The 15324-nt window shown below is 40.3% G+C and overlaps 1 protein-coding gene and 1 pseudogene across 3 annotated transcripts in view, besides 1 other annotated feature; one reads left to right on the top strand and one right to left on the bottom strand.

Moving 5' to 3' along the window:
- Positions 1-15324, top strand: part of RNF2 (ring finger protein 2) — a 57046-nt gene that overhangs the window by 24293 nt on the left and 17429 nt on the right. The window contains exon 1 of one of the 3 annotated variants that reach the window (XM_011509851.4): positions 818-1846. The exons of the other annotated variants lie outside the window; for them this stretch is intronic. The gene's annotated coding sequence lies outside the window, so the exon portion shown is untranslated. Of the gene's footprint in view, positions 1-817; positions 1847-15324 lie in introns of those variants that run through there. 3 annotated transcript variants of the gene reach the window in all.
- Positions 1715-2185, bottom strand: FTH1P25 (ferritin heavy chain 1 pseudogene 25; annotated as a pseudogene).
- Positions 2973-3105: a silencer, noted in NCBI's record as "fragment chr1:185041955-185042087 (GRCh37/hg19 assembly coordinates)". NCBI's record gives its function as "represses an EF-1alpha promoter that drives an FKBP-Casp9 reporter gene in an ReSE screen in HepG2 liver carcinoma cells {active_cell/tissue: HepG2}" and the evidence as "EXISTENCE:reporter gene assay evidence [ECO:0000049][PMID:32094911]".

Genomic DNA, 15324 nt, shown 5'->3' on the forward strand with positions numbered 1-15324 from the left:
TAACAGTTGACAACTAATAAAGAAATCTGCCCTTTCTGGCAAATTTTGTTCGTTATAGAATAAGTCTTAAATGAGTAGTCTTGAATCAGCCATTGATTTTCTGCTTATGAGGCACATTAACCAAAGATTTTAGTACTTTCAGTATTTTCTTCTCTAAAATAACTTATTCTTTTGACAGAGTATTAATGTAAAATTCTCAGTAAGTTGGGGGTAGCTAAATAATTTTCTCCCTGGTCTTTTACATGTTAGGGGACTAGGAAATAGAAATGCTTCTTCAAATTGAAATAATAGAGAAGATGATATCACCTAGTTTATGATTGTCATGTATGGAATGTGCCAGGTACTTCATATGAATATCTCATTCAGTTTTGCTAGTGAACCTGAAAATTTTTATCACTTTGCAGATTAAAAAAAAGCCTTAAGAGGTTGAGAAATTTGCCTATGAATCCACAGCTAGTGACTGCTAGAGCAAGGATGCAAATCCAAGCTGATCCAGTTCCAAAGATCATTTACTGTGCTTTCTGACTGTCTCATTTGTTGTTTTATAACATAAAGGGATCCCTAAAATAGTTCTCTGCCTTTACTTTGGGGAATTTATGGTTTAATGGATCCGTTTTTCCTTGAATGGTCTTGGGAACAAATGTATGGCCCAGTCAGAGGATTATTTGAGAGCCTTGGGATCTCAAAGAGTTGAATGGGAACCTCAATTAGTATTATCCTCAGTTTTTTTCACATGAACCTTATTCTTTGCTACATCTAACTTCTGTAGACTGCAGTATTTTCTTTTCTTTTTTTTTTTTTTTTTTGAGACCGAGTCTTGCTGTGTCACCCAGGCTGGAGTGCAGTGGCGCGATCTCAGCTCACTGCAAGTTCCGCCTCCCGGGTTCACACCATTCTCCTGCTTCAGCCTCCCGAGTAGCTGGGACTGCAGGTGCCCGCCACCTCGCCGGCTCATTTTTTTATTTTTAGTAGAGACTGGGTTTCACCGTATTAGCCGGGATGGTCTCGATTTCCTGACCTCGTGATCCGCCCGCCTCGGCCTCCCAAAGTGCTTGGGATTACAGGCGTGAGCCACTGCACCCGGCCAGACTGCAGTATTTTTATTCCCTCAACTAACTTAAGGATTGTATCTTAAGAGTGGGATAGAAATGGTGTTTTAGGGAACCTCTGCATAAGTATACTTTGTTTGCCAAGTAATACAAAGTGAGTATTTGTGTGGAAATGATGGAATAAAGGAGGGAGGGTAGGCAGTGAGGCAAATGGTTACATTCTTATAAGGCTCTGGTTAGCCTCAGTAAATCTATACTTTACATATGAAAAGAGGGAGTAGAGGAAAAAGTCAGTTACGCATTCATCTCAGGGTAGGCCAAGGGATGATTTCTGGTTTTTATCCTTGTCTTCTACCTGTGAAGATAAGCTGGTAATTGACATTGTTAAGGTGAGCTTCAACAGAACTCAGTTTCCGGGCTAGTTTATAGGGAAGATATGTATCCTGAAAGATTAAGACGAGGGAAGCCATCTTGGGAGATACGTGACCCTCTATTGTTGTGGGAATGTGGCTTATGGATGAGGCTACATATGTCTTGGTTGTGAAATTACAGCTATCTGTTTGGGAACAAAAGGAAAGTAGTATTGCCTTACTTAGTTCCTAAGCTTAACTTCCCCTTTGGCATCGTGCGTTTAGAGTCCCGAGATTCTATTTTCTTTTCACATCATTACTGTCTTCCAGGATGTACTTGTTAAAGAGTTACTCTGCCATGCTAGATTCAGACCCACCTCCCCGCCAATCTTGGACAAGTTGAACATGGTCACCCAGTTCTTTGATAGATTTCACCTGCTCATTCAGGTAATGCATCTCAATGAAGTCACACAGTGTGTGTGGTTTTGTCAATGGCCAGTTCATGCATTTTCAGTAGTGACTGATTCATGCTTTTTTCCAAGTATAATACGTGCTCCATTGTCTTCAACCTGCCCTCCCATTCATTATGGTCTGGTTTCTTGATATGCCGAAGGAATATTAGGCCTCTTTGTTGGTTGTGCAGCTCTGTCACTTTCTCATTATATTTTCTCTCCTCATGACATTGGTGAAGAAATGTCATGGCAAAGCCATATCATTGTGGACAAAGTAGTAAGACATGAATAGGTAGATGTGGAGACAAAGCTAGAGATTAATCTGGCAGTTGATGGTCATGGTGGTAGGGGTTGCTGTCATCATGGGAGGTGGCTAAGAAGAGGTAGCACTGAAATGGTGGCAGGAGCCTTGGGGCTGCTAGAGGGTGCTGTGAGGAGGTAGCAGGGGGCTGACTCTGAGGTGCTGGCTAGGGTGGGGGTTCCAAGCACAGTTGAAGCAATAAACCAAGGTGACTGTGAAGAATATCTGGACTCTCATGTTGAGGGGTTTTTGGTTATTTTTTTAGGCATGAAAATGTGAAATGTTGAGGTTGCCTAATTTGAACTCCTCTTTTTATTTATTCATCACCATTGATGAGTTCTTAAGCAAATATTTATTGAATGACTACTATATGCCAGGTACAGTGCAAGGTATTGGGGATATTGTGGTAAATAAGAGATAACTACTCTTAAAAATCTTAGAGGCTATAAAAGTGCTATGGTTAAGAAAAGAGAGAACGTGAGATAAAGAATTACAAGGTTAGAATTTCTTTAGAATGCATGAGGGAGCTAGCTATGGGAAAATCTTGGGGGGAAGAAATCATTCCTTTCCAAGCAGAAGGACTAGCTAGTGGAAGGACTCTAAAATGAGAATGATCTTTGCAAGACTGATGAAGAGAAAGATGGCAGATGTGGCTAAAACATACTGAACAGCTCATGCCTGTAATCCCAGCACTTTGGGAGGCTGAGGCGGGCGGATCATGAGGTCAGGAGATCGAGACCATCCTGGCTAACACAGTGAAACCCCATCTCTAATAAAAATACAAAAAATCAGGCGGGCATAGTGGCACGCGCCTGTAGTCCCAGCTACTTGGGAGTCTGAGGCAGGAGAATCGCTTGAACCCACGAGATGGAAGTTGCAGTGAGCCGAGATTGTGCCACTGCACTCCAGTCTGGGCAACAGAATGAGACTCTGTCTCAAAAAAACAAACAAAAAAACATAGTGAACAGAACTCAGAATGACATGTGTTTAGGTTGTTTAGATTTCTTTTTTAATTGCTTAAATAGGATGAAATTACACATTTTGCTCTACGACTTGCTTTTTTTTTTTTTTTTACTTAATGTGTGTTGTATACATATATTGAGTTCTGTGTCAGTGTTTATAGCTACGTAGTATTCTATACTATGGACATTTCCTAATTAGCCATTTTTTTATTGACATAGATTTTTATGGGTTTTTTGCTACTACAAATAATGCTGTGATGACCATTCTTATGCATATGCTTATTCTATCCCTGTGTGAGAATTTGTGCTGGGTAAATTTCTTTTTATTTTTAATTTTTTAAAATTTTTTTGCTGGGTAAATTTATTAAGAGAGTTATTACAATATCAAAACTTAGGAGCCATTTGACAGACACAGGCTGCTTTGAGAGGTGAGGATTCAGCTAAGACAGTAGAGTGACTGTTATTCTTTTATTCAGCCAAAGAGCAGAGATACTTAGCAATTTTTAGAGAGTATTCCAGTCTGTTCTTTTAGTGTATTCTCTTTCATTGGCATCTATTTTTCAGATACTGTCTTTTGATCTACAGCAGTTAATTTTTTGAGTTTTTTAAAAGGACACATAAATGTGATTGTTTTATAGTTTAAGGTACCTGTGTATGTTAAAATGCATATTATACTGTGGTTCTAAGGGCTGATGTGTCTACTGTTACTTACAAGGAATGCAGGTAAGACAATTACATCAGCCAGTACATTTTTATTGTATGTCAATCAAAGATAATAAAAGGGAAATGCATCTACTTCTGTAATCTGTTTCTTCTCACAACATTTCTGACACTAAATATGTGGTTTTTTGCTACACTAACAATTCTCCAACTCTTTAGTCACCAACTGGGTGTCCAACAGTTGATTCAGTTCAGTGGTTACGCTACTCAGAGTGAGTGCCAGACCCCACACATTAAGGGATCAGTCCCACAAGAGACTGCCTCCACTTCAGATGCCATTAAGCCCATGCCTCATGTACTTCTGACCAATTGGCTATAAGTTGGGGATTTCCGCAATCCCCTTGTCAGGTTTGATAATTTGCTAGAATGGCTCACAGAACTCAGAAAAGCATTTTACTTACATTTATCAGTTTGTTATAAAGGACATTATAAAAGATACAGCATATTAAGAGGTAGAGAGAGTGAGGTCCATTGGGGTTCCAACCATAGGAGCTCCTGTCCTGTGGAGTTAGAGTGTATCACCCTTCTGGCACCCTGACCTTCCACGAGTTCCATCATTTAAAAATTTAATGGAGATTCCATTACATGGACATGACTGGTTAAATCATTGGCCATTGGGAATTAGCTGGATCTCCAAACTCTTTTCCCTCTTTAGTGGTAGGGGTAGGATGGGACTGTAGGGGTAGGATGGGACTGAATGTTCTGACCCTCTAATCTTGTGGTTGGTTCTCCTGAAAACCAGTCCCTGTCCTGAATCTATCTAGGGGCCCACCTAGAGTAACCATATTAGCATAAACTTAGGTATGGTTGAAAGGGGCTTACTATGAATAAGAAAAGTGGCTCCTCTCACCCTTATGACTCAGGGATTCCAAAGGTTTTAGATGATCTGTGCCAGGAACCAAGGACTAAGACCAAATACAAAGAAAAAAAAAGACCAGATACAGTCTGCCTTCCTGTATCAGTGGTTTCAACCAACTACAGATTGAAAATATTAGGGAAAAAAAATGGTATGGTTGCATCTGAACGTGTACAGATTTTTTTTCTCGTGTCATTATTCTCTAAACAATACCATATAACAATTATTTACATAGCGTTTACATTGTATTGAGTATTGTAAGTAATCTAGAGATGATTTAAAGTACACAGGAGGAGGGTATGTGTAAGTTATATGCAAATGCTGTGTCTTTTTATATAAGGGACTTGAGTATCCATGGATTTTGGTATCGGGGAGGGGGAGCTCAGAGGGTGTCCTGGAACCAATCCCCCTTGGATACTGAGGGACGACTATATATAGTTCCGTGTGTGTGTGTGTGTTATTTATTTATTTTTGAGATGGAGCCTTGCTCTGTCGCCCAGGCTGGAGTGAGTGGCGTGATCTCAGCTCACTGCAACCTACACCTTCCGGGTTCAAGCCATTCTCCTGCCTTAGCCTCCCTAGTAGCTGGATTACAGGCACCCATCACCACACCTGGCTAATTTTTTTATTTTTAGTAGAGACGGGTTTTCGCCGTGTTGGCCAGGCTGGTTTCGAACTTCTGACCTCAGGTGATCCCCCCGCCTCGGCCTCCCAAAGTGCTGGGATTACAGACATGAGCTACTGTATTGTGTATTTCTTACAGCATGTCCATAGAGATTCTGTAATGGCCCCATATAGCTTGATTCAACCATTTTCCATTTCAAGAAATACATTCCTTATGCGAAATACTGTAATTATGCCTTAACTGCCAAATTGTTCTGTTCCCCAGAACTTTGCCAATGGTTCGACAATTCCTGTTTCTGCACACACTTTTAAACACTAGTGTTCTTGCATTGCTGTGTAACTCCCTGAGACCGGATAATTTATAGAGAAAAGAGGTTTAGTTGGCTCAAGGTTCTGCAAGGCTGTACAGGAAGCATGGCTGGGGGAGGCCTCAGGAAACTTACATTCATGGTGGAAGGTGAAGGGTGAGCAGGCAGGTCCTACATGTCTGGAGCAGGAGGAAGAGAGAGCAGTGGGAGATACTAGACACTTCTAAACAATCAGCTCTTGTGAGAACTCATTAACACGAGAACAGCAAGGGGGAAATCCACTCCCATGATCCAGTCACCTCCCACCAGGCCCCTCCTCCAACACTGGGGATTATAATTCCACATGAGATTTGGGCGAAGCCACAAATCTTAAACCATATCAACTAAATATTAGTCATCTTAATCTTTGTCAATATCACAGACAAAAAATAGAGCCTATATAGAACGCATTGTTTTGATTTGCAATTTACTGATTATTAGTGAAGTTTAGCACAGTTTAATTTTATTGGTTATGTATTGTGTTAATTACTCATCATTTTGCTTATATTGTCTTTTAAATTGATTTGATGTAGTACTCAGTATATATTATCGTTATTGGCCTTTGTTAATTTACATATGTTGCACATATTTTTTTCCTAGCTATTGTTTATCTTTTAAATTTGCTCATGGTGTCTCTAGTTGATTTTGTATGCAGGATTTAAAATTTTGTGAGGCGAAATATGAACCTTTCAGTCTTCTGGGTATTGTATCTTGCTTTTAGGCTGCCCTTCTTTTCTTCTAGATCTTTTATGGGTTGTTTTTTTTTTTTTTTTTTTTTTTTTTTTTTTTTTTTTTTTGAGACAGAGTCTCATTCTGTCGCCCAGGCTGGAGTGCAGTGGCGCGATCTTGGCTCACTGCAACCTCCGTCTCCTGGCTTTAAGTGATTCTCCTGCCTCAGACTCCCAAGTAGCTGGGACTACAGGCGCGTGCCTCCATGCCTGGCTAATTTTTTGTATTTTTAGTAGAGACGGGATTTTACCGTGTTAGCCAGGACTCGATCTCCTGACCTTGTGATCCACCTGCCTTGGCCTCCCAAAGTGCTGGGATTACAGGGGTGAGCCACTGCGCCCGGCCTTATTTTATGGTTTTTTTTTTTATGTTAATCCTTCCAGAATTTTAAAATTCACTTATTTGTTTAGGTATCTGATTTATTTGAAAAGGGTTTAAATTTTTTTTTTGTCATCCCTGATTTTAAAATACCCTAAATTCACATATCTGTTTTTGAGCCCTTTGTTTTGTTATATTGATCTGTTTTTCTTTTTCTTGAGATCATAGTGTTGCTTTCTATTAAGCTTTAATGTTTGTTTTAAGGTAAACTCTCTCCTGTTTTTCTTTAAAAATACTCTGGGCATTTTTTTTTGCATCCTCCAGGTAAACCTTAGAATCATTTTGTCTGCTGGTATTTTGATTGGGATTGCATTGCATTGAATTTATATACATATGTGTACATTAATTCAGTTCAGATCCTCTTTAATATACTTCAGTTAAGTTGTAGAGTTTTGTCTTTTCAATATTTTGTGAAATTATTTTAAGGATTTTATAAATTTTGTTGCTATCGTGAATGGGATCTTTTAAAAAATTTATTTCTGAATGGTAATTCCTAGTTTATAGGAAAACTGTAGCCTTTTTGGCATTTTTTTTATCTTCATTCCACCATGTTACTGCTTTTTATTAGTTCTAATAGTTTTGCTTTTGATTTTGTTGGATTTTATAGTTAGCTATCATTATTTGCACTGATACTTTGATCACTTCCTTTTCCCATGTTCCTCTCCCCATCCTCCTCCCCCCTCCCTCCTACTTCTCTCCCTCCCTCTCTATTTTTTTTCCTACCATAACATGACGTAGGACTTTCAGCAGAGTGTTGGGTGGTCTCATTTTGCTCCTGACTTTTTTAACAGGAATGTGTCAAAAGTTTTAACATTGATTGTTTTGGGACTTCCGGTAGATTTTTCATGAGGTTAAGAATGTTTCTATTTATTTCTAACTTATTACGACTTTTATTAGAAATAGTTTATTTATTGGTACAGAGTTGAAGATAACGTTCTCTGACTTAATTTTTTAAATCTCATATCCGTACATATGTGTGGTTTTTTAATTGTTAGGAATTAACTTTGTTTTTTTTTTTTTGGCTAGAAATTTAGCTATATTATTGGCTGTACCTGACAACTAAATTGTACTTTCATGAGCAAATCTGTTTTGTTTTGTTTTTTTTTTTTGGGCTGTTGTTGTTTGATTTCAGCTTTTATAGTGATTATTTTCCCCTTTTACTTTGTTTAGGTTCATTTTCTAATTTCTAATGCCTGATTCATTGTTTTTTTTCAGTCATTATTGTTTTATTATTTTAAAATTGCAGGTTATAAATATTTCTAAGGGACATTTCTCTCACTACATATACCATACATTGTGATAAGGTAGTATTTTCGTTTTATTCATTTATAAAGGACAAGTAAGGGGCCGGGCGTGGTGGCTCACGCCTGTAATCCCAGCACTTTGGGAGGCCAAGGCCAGCGGATCACCTGAGGTTTGAGGTTCGAGACTAGCCCGGCCAACATGGGTGAAACCCTGTTTCTACTAAAAATACAGAAATTAGCCAGGTGTAGTGGTGTGTGCCTGTAGTCCCAGCTGCTTGGGAGACTGAGGCTGGAGAATCGCTTGAACCTGGGAGGCAGAGGTTGCAGTGAGCCGAAATCTTGTCACTGCATTCCAGCCTGGGTGACAAAGTGAGACTCCATCATAAATCAGTCAATCATGTAGTTTCAAGTTTGATTTCCTCTTCAACCCATTCTAACATGTCTTTTGCCCCCAAATTAGTCTTACTTGATTCTTATGAAGATTACCATCTTGGCTTCTCTTTAGCTCTGTAACCTCTTCTTGTGAATGTTCCCCTTTATTTACTAGCCACACTGACCTGCTTTCTTTCCTTCTCTAATATGTCTATTTTGAAAGTTATTCCTTGGTTTCCCTATCTTACATGGCTCCTCTTCTCCCCCTTGATTGAAGGTCCCTAGTTTAACTCATAAAGTATCAGCATTAGTAAGCAGTAATTCTTTCTGAGTGATGTACTTAGTGATCTTTCATATGAATATGAAGGTGGCCTGGCGCAGTGGCTCACTCCTCCACTCATTCCAGCTGGGATTTTACAAATCCCAGCACTTTGGGAGGCCGAGGTGGGCGGATCACCTGAGGTTGGGAGTTCGAGACCAGCCTGGCCAACATGGTGAAACCCCATCTCTACTAAAAATAGAAAAATTCGCCAGGCGTAGTGGCTCACGCCTGTAATCCCAGCACTTTGGGAGGCCAAGGCAGGCGGATCACCTGAGGTCAGGAGTTCGAGACCAGCCTAGCCAACATGGTGAAACCTCGTCTCTACTAAAATACAAAAATTTGCCAGGCATGGTGGTGTGCACCTGTAATCCCAGCTACTTGGGAGGCTGAGGCAGGAGAATCGCTTGAACCCGGGAGGCAGAGGTTGCAGTCCCTAAAAGATCATTCTGAATATCTTATTGATATTTTCCCTTTGATTATTGGAGCTGCCAGCTTTCACGGTCTACTATGACTAGATCTTTTCTTTTTTTTTTTTTTTCGGATTTATTTTGTTTCTGCCTATGCAGCTAAAGTTATCTCATTCAGACTAATGCTTACTTTTCATTTATACATTCTCTCCACAAATTTGAGCACCTACTTTGTATAGAAGCATTTCTGGTGTTTCGGATATATCTTTTTTTCAGAAGTATAATTAATGAGCTGTAACTGGAAATTGGGCCTGTGAAACAACATTTTTGGGAGGCTGTTGTTCTAGACTAGCCTCTTGCACTGGACCCCACCAGACCAGAACAAACCAGAATGGAGTCACTTATCCTAAGTGCCACATAATCAAACTTGGAAATAGGTCAGTTTTCTAGAAAATAGGAGATTATAGTCAGCCTGAGTCTTCGTAATAAGGAAGTCCTCCCTGTTTTAACCTTTTAAAGGAAAGCATCTTTGAAACAACCAGTCTGCTTTTTGTTCTGTTTCTGCTTTCTTCAGCCTTTTTCTGCTTTTAAAGCCAACCTCCTCTCCTCTCATTGGAACAGTCATTTTATTTTATAAAATGAGATGTTGTCCAATTCCAGGAGCCCAAATAAAAGCCAATTGTGGGCTGCTTGTGGTGGCTCACGCCTGTAATCCCAGCACTTTGGGAGGCTGAGGTGGGCGGATCATCTGAGGTCAGGAGTTTGAGACCAGCCTGGCCAACATGGCAAACCCCGTCTCTACTAAAAGTACAAAAATTAGCCAGGTGTGGTGCTGGGCGCCTTGTAGTCCCAGCTACTCAGGAGGCTGAGGCAGGAGAATTGCTTGAACCCGGGAGGTGGAGGTTGCAGTGAGCTGAGATCGCGCCACTGCACTCTAGCCTGGGCAACAAGAGCGAGACTGTCTCAGAAAAAAAAAAAAGCCAATTGTGTCTTTAAACTTGTTATAATTTTGTCTTTTGATAGGCCCCCAGTAGACCTAGATCTTGTTCAGTTGTGTTGACAAGGATCTTTAGGCTGTTGGGATCTAGGGAGCACATTCTTGTCACTGGAAAAAATCCTTAAGATCATTTTGTGTGGCACCTCACTTCGTATCTTCTTTGCTGGCTTCCACTCTACTCTTCAGCTTTTCAGACTGTATCTTGGCCATCCATTCTTGTTCTTTTCCTCTTTGTCTACTCTGTGTATATGTTAGTATCTATACATAGGTGACTCTCAGATATTGTTCATTGAAATCACTTTTCATTGAGATCTGAAAAACAGAAGCTAAATGTATTTCACATTCTTGGCTTGGGCAAGGGGGAACCACAGGCAGAAATGTAGCTTCTCACTAAACAGAAGAGAAAAGATTAAATCGATTTTGGGGCAGGGTGAATTTAGATTAAATTTAAATGAAGATGTATATTGATCTAAAGCAAAGAGACACTAATTCTCAAGAGTATATCTGTTCAGTGACATGTTCATAAGAATTGAGATAATGATTTTGGCAGTCTGCAAGACTTTGCCCCTATTTTTGGTCTCAGGATCAACTGCTGTACTATCTGGTAAGGTAGCATCCATGTGGTAGTATTTAAGACTGTAGATACCAGAGAACATATTATTGTAATGCAGACTTAACAGAAAGATAAGGAAGACTAGAAAATTCTGCAAAGTCATGAAGATTGTAGTTTTTCCAAATGGTACCAGGAAATTCTGGAAATGCAACTAACTTGTCAATCACTCCTAAGTCTTATTTGCCACAGGAATACAGATATCCAAATCAGATATAATTTGGTTATGTGCAAGATAACTAATATCTCTAGAAATATAATACTTCAGCAGAATGTTTTATTTGATAGTTCCTATTAATTTTCCAGGGTAGCGTTCAGTAGGCAGAAGGAGTGTTCTGCTTATAATTAGTCCTAGGGTCACAGTTACAGGTTGGGACATGGGTTAGCATTTGGAATTCTTAGAAATCCCTCCAATGGATTTTTAGAAATTCCTCCTGAGTAGTTTTGGTTCTCTGAAAGATCTATCTAGGATATATGTTAGAAATAATGGCACATGTGTTAGTTTGGTACAAAAGTAATTGCGGTTTTGGACTGTGAATTTTAAATAATCAAAACTAGGCTCAAACACATCTTTATTAATCAAAATAGGAACCATTACAGTCAACACATTTTTGCCAATGAGAAATAAGTTTGTTTATTCCTGTAGTGTAAAAATCCATGCTTTGGGATTCGATGAACTCTTGGAAAGTATTTTCTGCATCCTGCTAGTTGTGGAAGTGTCTTCCCTGCAAAAAGTTGTCAAGATGCTTGAAGAAGTGGTAGTTGGTTGGCGAGAGGTCCGATGACTATGGTGGGTGAGGCAAAACTGTAGCCTAATTCCATCAATTTTTTTTTTTTTTTGAGGTGGAGTTTCGCTCTTGTTGCCCAGGCTGGAGTACAGTGGTGCAATCTTGGCTCACTGCAACGTCTGCCTCCTGGGTTCAAGTGATTATCCTGCCTCAGCCTCCTGAGTAGCTGGGATTACAGGTGTGTGCCACCATGCCTGACTAATTTTTGTATTTTTAGTAGAGACGGGTGGGGTGGGGGGGGGCGGTTTCACCATGTTGGCCAGGATGGTCTTGAACTCCTGACCTCAGGTGATCACCTGCCCCAACCTCCCGAAGTGCTGGGATTACAGGTGTGAGCCACCGTGCCTGGCCTCTGTCAACTTTTGAAGCGTTGGTTGTGTGACGTGCATTTGAGCATTGTTGTGGATAAGAATTGGGCCCTTTTTGTTGATCAGTGCCAGCCGTGGGCATTGCAGTTTTCGGTGCATCTCGATTTGCTGAGCATATTTCTCAGATGTAATGGTTTTGCTGGGATTCAGAAAACTGTAGTGGATCAGAAAGCTGTAGCGGCAGCAGACCACCAAACAGTGACCATGACTTTTTTTTGGTGCATGTTTGCCGTTGGGAAGTGCTTTGGAGCTTTGGAAGTGCTTCAGTCCAACCACTGAGCGGGTCGTCACTAGTTACCAAATAAAATCCACTTTCGTGGCAAGTTGCAATCCAATGGTTCATTGTTGTTGCATAGAATAAGAGAAGACAACACTTAAAAATGGCGATATTTTTGATTTTCACTCAGCTCATGAGACACCCACTTATCGAGCTTTTTCACCTTTCCAGTTTGCTTAAAATGCTACAACCATAGAATGGTAGACATTGAGTTATTTGGTAACTTCTAGTGTAGTTATAAGAGGATCAGCTTCTATGATTGTCCTCAGTTGGTCGTTGTCAACTTCCGCTGGCTGGTCACTATGCTCCGCGTCTTCAAGGTTCTTGTCTCCTCTGCAGAACTTTTTTTTTTTTTTTTTTTTTTGAAGACAGAGTCTTGCTCTGTTACCCAGGCTGGAGTGCAGTGGCACGATCTTGGCTCACTGCAACCTCTGCCTCCCAGGTTCAAGCGATCCTCCTGCCTCAGCCCCCCAGTAGCTGGGATTACAGGCACATGCCACCATACCTGGCTAATTTTTTTATTTTTTTTTTAGTAGAGACAGGGTTTTGCCATGTTGGCCAGGTTGGTCTTGAACTCCTGACCTCAGGTAATCTACCCTCCTTGGCCTCCCAAAGTGCTGGGGTTACAGGCGTGAGCCACCGCACCCAGCCTGCAGAACTTCTTTCTTGGACCACCACTGCCCTGTACGTTCGTTAGCAGTTCCTGGGTGGAATGCAGTGTCGATGTTGCGAGTAGTCTCCACTGCTTTACGAACCATTTTGAACTCGAATAAGAAAATCACTCAAATTTGTTTTTTGTCTAATAACATTTCCATAGTCTAAAATAAACATAAAATGAACAGCAAGTAACAAGTCGTTAGCAAAAAAACATAAAGTGAGAAATGCCCATTAAAATGATGTATAACATAACCACATTGAAGAATGTATTCCAGTATCAAATGGTGAATTCCAACAGTGCAAAAACCACAATTAATTTGCACTAACCTAATATCTACAAAGAAGCTGGCCATCTATATTTATACATGGTTCACCTCAAATTCAACAACTAGAGTCATCTTCAAAGCAGCATCATTTGGATAGGCTCTGGCCATTGTTTTTTTCCCCTGCTTCTTTGTTTGCTAATACGGAACAAAGCCTCTTATTTTTCTGCTTGCTTTATCTACTAATATCTTACGAGTAGGTCTTTAATTCTTAGAGGATAAAATATCTTTTGATTTTTTAAAAATTATTTTGATAGCTAGATTTATTCGAAGGATTGTATGTTTGTTTTAGTTCGTATTTTGTCAGTTTTCTCAGGTTCTTTGAATGCTTTTAGCTACATGTTGGAGATTGTCCAAATTTGCAATTTTCCATTTTAATTTTATTTTATAAGTCCCGTATTTTGTTTTAGCCTATGAACAAGAAGACAGGCTGGGTTTTTATTATACTAACTTTGGGTCTGTTCCACAGTATAAAGTCTTGACGGCAATTTCTCATGTCTCTCCCCTCCACTCTTCGCTTTCTCTCTCCTTCCCACTCAGGGTCTCTCCTGCAGCCTTGAACTCCTGGGCTCAAGCAGTCCTCCTGCCTCAGACTTTTGAGTAGCTGGGACTACAGGCCAACCCTATTTTTCTTACTCTAGTCACTATTATTAGGTGTATTTTTGTTTTTTGGAGACTCGAGCTCAGTCTGTTGCCCAGGCTGGAGTGCAGTGGTGTGATCTCAGCTCACTACAACCTCAGCCTCCTGAGTAGCTGGGACTCCAGGTGTGTGCCACCACTCCTGGCTAACATTTTGTATTTTTTGTAGAGAGGGGATTTTGCTGTGTTGCCCAGGCTGGTCTCAAACTCTGGGACTCAAGTGATCTACCTGTCTCGGCCTCCCAAAGGGCTGGGATTACAGGTGTGAGCCACTGTGCCTGGCCTACCTTTTTTTTTTTTTTTTAAGTCTTTTCCTTAAAAAAAAAAAAAAAAATTAGGGGTGGGATCTCACTCTGTTGCCCAGGCTGGAGTGCAGTGGCACAGTCGTACCTCACTGAAACTTTAAACTCCTGGGCTCAAGCAATCTTCCAGCCTTAGCCTCCCAAGTACCTAAAACTACAGGCACACACCATCACACCCACCTAATTTTTAATTTTTTTTTGAGGAGATGGCTTCTTGCTATGTTGCCCAGAATGGTCTTGAACTCCTGGCCTCAGGCAGTCCTGTGAGCCACCATAGCCACCCAGTCTTTAAGTCTTCTAGCTATCTGTTGGCTTTAATTGTTAGCTCAGCCTTAAACCATGCCTTAATTCAGTTTATGTTGGCTTACCACTCGAATCAGCATTGTAGCAATTTTAAATGAGTATTAGGTCATTGGTTGTTTGGGGGAGAAGACCTTAGGAAAGGATAGTTCATTTAGGATTTTTGGGGAGGGAATAGAGAAGAACAAAAGGAATATGTGCTGATGGTGATGCTAAAGCATGATAATGTTAGATGCATAAGGAGGACACGTTTCAGATAGTTTGAGGGGTTTTGTTTCCCCCTTCTTACTTTTGCAAGAGAATCTTCTAGGGATGCTGTTTTCAAGTCAGTTTTATTTTGAGACCTTGGCATGCTGGTCACAAAAGGCCATTGCATATTTGGTACTTTTTTTCCTTTCCTTTCTAGAGCTTCTCTTAGCTGTATTATCTTTGATGTGCCCCACATTCTTCATAATAGCTGAGGTAACTAGAAATCATCCTTGGAGAAATTGTGCCATCTAGCCTACTAAGCGCAATAATTTAGGATTATAAGAATGCATATAGCAGGAATTCTACCAGGAGAAGCTTGCAGCTTTCACTTTGATTCACAAGAGAGAGTTGCCATAGCAGGTGTCTAATAATGCTTATAAAATGGTGGCTGGGGCCTATGACTGAATAATCAAACTCTGTGATTACCAGTCTGTTAACCGTTAGCTCCAGAGTACAGGAATGAGGGACATGTTGTGTCTTCAGGGAGGTGTGGGAATTTTTTTTGCCCACATCGTCTGCTGGACCACTCTACCTTAGTGGTCCCTGAGTAGCTGGAACTCAGTGTGTGTAGCAACTGTACTGCTCTTCCAACGCATACTTTTCTTTCTGTGTTCTCTCTCAATAAAAAATGGTTGCTTTCTCAGAGCCATATTTGACCCTTCTTTCTTTTTCTTTTTTTTTTTTTTTTTTTTTGAGACAAA

Source organism: Homo sapiens, chromosome 1 (assembly GCF_000001405.40).
Source record: "Homo sapiens chromosome 1, GRCh38.p14 Primary Assembly".
In the NCBI taxonomy this organism is placed as follows: domain Eukaryota; kingdom Metazoa; phylum Chordata; class Mammalia; order Primates; family Hominidae; genus Homo; species Homo sapiens.